Genomic DNA, 5,383 nt, shown 5'->3' with positions numbered 1-5,383 from the left:
TTATTTATAGAATCTTACATTAAGAAAGAAACTTTCCAGAACATTTAAATTTATTCCTTCTCAAGAAAGAACCATATCTAAAACAGGCCAAATGCCTGAGGATAGTTGAACAACAGGTTATTTGGCTGCAACTCCAAGGTCAGTCTAGCTCTGATGGGCCCTTTAAATAAGGAAATATAATGATTTATTTATTTAAACAGCATTCCTGATTATCTGCTTTGTGTGCAGTGCTAAAGCAACAAGGTGGGGAGTAGGGGGGCCATAGTTCTTATGTCCATGAAACTCACATACAGGTTGCAGAAACATATATATAAACAGACATTTATAATGCAGTGTGGAAAGTATTATAATGCAGATACATATAAAAAGGGAACAAATAATAATGGATGGTACATTAGGGAAGGATTCAATGAGAAGGTTAGGTTTGAGTTAAGTCATACAAGATGTAGAAAAGTTCACCAACTATGGGCCAAAAGAGGGTAGGAAGACACTCCAGGCAGAAGGAATGACATGTGCAGTGAAAGATATACATACAGAACACTTTTGGATCTACACATATTTTAGGGTGGTTGGAGCTTAGAGAATGGGAGGAGATGAAACTCAAGAGCTAAGCAGGAGGCAAATTATGAAGAGATTTTTAAGGCATGGTAAATGGGTGAAACATTATCCTAAGGACATAGTAAGCCATTGAAGAGTTTTAAACAGGTGTGTGGCACAATCAGATTTCTGTTTCAGATAGATCATGTTGCAGTATGAAGAATGGACTTTAACAAGTAAAAGACTGAGCCAGGGGAACCAGTTAGGAGGATGTTGCAATAATATTGGCTTGAGATGATGGTACTCTGGACTAACATACTATCAGGGTACATGTAGTAAAACATAAAGCACAGCCCAGGTGCAAAGGCTTCTTATCTTATTCAAAAGACAGAAAGGTGCTAGGGAAGTAGTTCTCAGGAAGTACAGCAGCAAAATTTCATAGCCTTCACTGTAGATATGAATGTAAATCACATCAATTTTTCTAGACTTCCTTGAATACACAGAAAAGGTAGATTACTGGGGCCCTTTACTTTTTGGTTTATTAAACATGATTGTTACTGTATTTCTTCCCTAAAGTACAGATACTTCAGGTTACAGAACTGGACAAAAAAGCAAGACAGGATTAAAGTGCCATTGATTCTCACTTGCCTTTTGTCAAGCCATTGTATTTAGCTTCTCACCTTTTAATATGGCTTACACAACAGAGTTAAAGGAGTGGAGACTTTCACATTCTTCCCTTGGGAAGCGCCCTTCATTCATCTACTATTGACGTCAAGAGTTAAGGATGCAAGATGAATCAAACCACAAGCATTTCCTGAATTCCTCTTGCGTGCCCAGCCCTGCATCAGTACTGGCAGAAGTCAAGGGGTTGAGGAAAGTGTGAGTGGGGAGTACAGAAGCATGAGATGGACTCCTTGGCCTCAAGAAGCTCACACTTGAGTTGGGAAAGCACACCTAATTATCATCCAGTTCCCCTTCCCAACAAGGAAGTGATAAACTATGACATAAACTGGAAGTGTTCTAGAAGCCTAGAGAAGAATGAGCTCAGTGTGGGCTGATAAATTCAAAATAGTTTCCTGGAGGAGATAAAATGTATGTAAATTTTAAGGGTGGGTGAGATTTGGATGGGCAAAGAAGAAAGGAAGTTTCTACTAGAAAAGGGTAGTGATGGGAACATGCATATGTGGAGGTGGTGGGGACAGTGACAGAATAACAAGTAGAGTTTATTTTTTTCAATAACACCTTCACCTAGGGCAGGAAAAGATCTCTCTGGCATCTATATTTTAGCTTCAAGTTTCATATTATATTATTTTTAAAAGGATAGATATATGCAAACATAGATATATTTAAATATATGTAAATATAATTCATAACAGATCTGAATTGTATTCCCTGTTGTCAGTGATTATTTCTGGATGTGAGCTTAAAATTATGAATGATTTTAAGTTTTAATTTTCTTTATATTTTCTACAAAAAAAAACTTGTATTATTTGTATGAAAAGAAAAAATAAGAAAATAAAAGATCACCAAGAATTTTTAAAAAGGGACAAGACAAGCTTGAGATGAGGGAAGAGGTGGAAAGAATGCCCTGAGAAATTTTTCCAAAGTAGATTCTGTGGTGCCTCACTACAGGCATTGAGGTCAGTATAAAATAAAGGAAGACTTAAGTGGAATAAGTCAGGAGGCAAAAAATAAAAAGAGAAAGTGAGAGAGAGAAATGAAGAAGGAAGGTGGGAAGGAGGGAAAGAAGGAAGGAAGGAAGGAAGGAAGGAAAAGATTAGCATTAACTGAGCACCTCTGTGTCCCATATCTTTTCTCACTTAGTTTCCCCATCAACACTTTGGGGTATATAGTATTATCCCAGTCTAGAGATGAACGTGAGGTATAGACACGTCAAGAAACTTCTTATCCTATAAACTAGCTGCCTGAGCTCTCTCATCCCACTCTTAGCACCTGGGCAAATCCTTTCTTCTTTGTCAAGTCGTGGTTAAAACCTGATACACTGTGACTCCTTCTCTGACTCCTTTGGTGATTGTTAGAAATTACCTTTATTTTAAGCTTCACTGTACTCTCTGAATATATACCATCATAAAAGCAAGCCTTATTTTATCATGTTTATCTGTTTCCTAACCTGTATCTTTAACTGTATTGGCAGTTCCTTGAAAACAGGGAAAACGTTTTTATACCTAGCATTATATACCACCCATACCTATGATTTCATGTAGTTTTCATAGGAACTCTGTGGAGTTAGTAGGGTAACTTTGCTGCTTTTTAAAAAGTGTTTTTATTTTTTAATTGATACATAATAATTGAATACATTTATAGGGTACAATGTGATGTTTCAATACATGTATACATTGTGGAATGAGCAAATCAGGCTAAATCAGGCTTTTTGGGTGAAATATTCCTTGGCTCCACCACTTACCACCTATGCAATTTTCAGGTAGTCACAACTTCCCTCCATACCACCCCGCCACACTCTCCACAGGGCTGCAAAGAGGAAGGAGCTTACCCAAACACATCTATTAACTCATCTACATATGTTTAGTGAGTATCTACACTCAGGCATCATCCAAAAAGTTAGGTGTAAAAAGATTGTCTATTTTCAAGGAACTGCCAATCTAGTTAAAGATACATTAGGAAACAGATAAACATGATAAAATAAGGCTTGCTTTTATGAGGGTATATATGCAGAGAATGCAGTGAAACTTAGAAAAAGTAATTCTTAACAATGACTAAGGGAGTCAAAGAAGGAGTCACAATGTATCAGTTTTAACCAAGACTTAACAAAGAAGAAAGCATTTGCCAAGGTGACAAGAAGTGAGATGAGAGAGCTCAGTCAGCTAGTTTATAGGGTAAGAAGAACTTGGGTCAAAGATGAAATTCCAGTATTTAAGAGATACACACAGATGAAAGAAATTCTGAAGTAGACTGAGAAAAAGGTAGGACACAAAGAAAAAGCTGTATCATAACATCCAAAAAAGACGGAGTTGTCAAGAATGTCCAATGCTATCAAAAGTCAAATAAGACAAGACTTGAAAAATGTTCACTAACACACTTTTACACTGTTGGTGGGACTGTAAACTAGTTCAACCATTGTGGAAGACAGTGTGGCAATTCCTCAAGGATCCAGAACTAGAAATACCATTTGACCCAGCAATCCCATTACTGGGTATATACCCAAAGGATTATAAATCATGCTGCTATAAAGACACATGCACATGTATGTTTATTGTGGCACTATTCACAATAGCAAAGACTTGGAACCAACCCAAATGTCCAACAATGATAGACTGGATTAAGAAAATGTGGCACATGCACACCATGGAATACTATGCAGCCATAAAAAGGATGAGTTCATGTCCTTTGTAGGGACATGGATGAAGCTGGAAACCATCATTCTCAGCAAACTATCACAGGGACAAAAAACCAACCACCACATATTCTCACTCATAGGTGGGAATTGAACAATGAGAATACTTGGACACAGGAAGGGGAACATCACACACCGGGGCTTGCCATGGGGTAGGGGGAGGGAGGAGGGATAGCATTAGGAGATATACCTAATGTAAATGATGAGTTAATGGGTGCAGCACACCAACATGGCACATGTATACATATGTAACAAACCTGCACATTGTGCACATGTACCCTAGAACTTAAAGTATAATTTAAAAAAAAGAAAAATATGTTCACTGACTTTACAAGGGAGGTATTGGTGATCTTAGCAAGATCCTGTTAGTGAAGTGATTGTGTTGGGCATCATATTTAGTAGGGTTAGAATGCAAACAGGAATTGAGGAAGTGGAGATTGCAGGTGAAGAATACTATTATTCTAGAAATTTTGCTATTAAAAATAATAGCAAAAGATAGGAAGTAGTGAGGAGGTTTGTAGGATTCAGATAAGTGTTTGTAGTTTTTGTTTTTGTAGGTCACAGAGACTTTAGCATTATATGTCCTGAAGAGAAAGATGTAATGGAGAGGGTAGTTGAGATACTGTATAGGAGAAATAAAAGATAATTGACGGATTGAGGTTCAAAGGAGGCAGATGAAGGATATAAATAAATATTAAGGAAGAAAGATTTGCTTTTTTAAATGGCAAGAAATGTCCCTTTACCTGCAGTTGGACAGAAGAAGATAAAGTTGAGTACAAAGTAATTTGTGCAGCAACCACTATGTACAAGATCTTTTCCATATACTGCTCTCACTCTCCTTGAGATACTATTTTCCCTCTCTCACTAGGCCAAATCTTTCTATTCATTCATACTTAGGCTCAACTGTCACTTTTGCTAGGAAGCCTTCTGTGACTCCCCAGAAATAAGGCTAGCCCCCACCGTTGTATGCTTCTGTAGCGCTGCTTTTCCCCTCATAGCAGTTTTGACAGTTTATAATCATGCATTTATTAATGTGATCACCTGATTGTTTGTTTCCCCTACCAGATGGCAATCTCCATGAGAACTGGGGTCAAGTCTTTTTTTTATTTTTGTTTTTTGCTCATTTCTATATCTCTAGTATGTAATACACTGTGCCTATCATATTGTAGGTACAGGTTGAGTATCCTTTATCTGAAATACTTGGGACCAGAATGTTTCAAATTTTTACTTTTTTCAAATTTGGGAATATTTGCATTATACTTATTGGATCATACCTAATCCAAAAATATGAAATATAAAATGCTCCAGTGAGCATTTCCTGTGAGTGTCACATCAGTACTCAAAGTTTCAGATTTTGGAGCATTTTGGATTTGTGGATTTTTGAATTAAGAGTACTTAACCTTTCTTTAATAAACACATGTTGAATCATCTTAATGTATACAAAGAATGGCACTAGATGCTGACAAAATAGGA

General features: G+C 36.9%; 1 annotated feature.

Moving 5' to 3' along the window:
• Window positions 871–2,070: an enhancer, noted in NCBI's record as "P300/CBP strongly-dependent group 1 enhancer chrX:115403048-115404247 (GRCh37/hg19 assembly coordinates)". NCBI's record gives its function as "activates an origin of replication core promoter dependent on BRD2, BRD4, P300/CBP, MED14 and CDK7 cofactors, with strong dependence on P300/CBP, by STARR-seq in HCT116 cells {active_cell/tissue: HCT116}" and the evidence as "EXISTENCE:reporter gene assay evidence [ECO:0000049][PMID:35650434]".

This window comes from Homo sapiens, chromosome X (genome assembly GCF_000001405.40).
Source record: "Homo sapiens chromosome X, GRCh38.p14 Primary Assembly".
In the NCBI taxonomy this organism is placed as follows: domain Eukaryota; kingdom Metazoa; phylum Chordata; class Mammalia; order Primates; family Hominidae; genus Homo; species Homo sapiens.
Note: the sequence above shows the minus strand (reverse complement) of the source record. Positions and strands in the feature narration are given on the sequence as shown.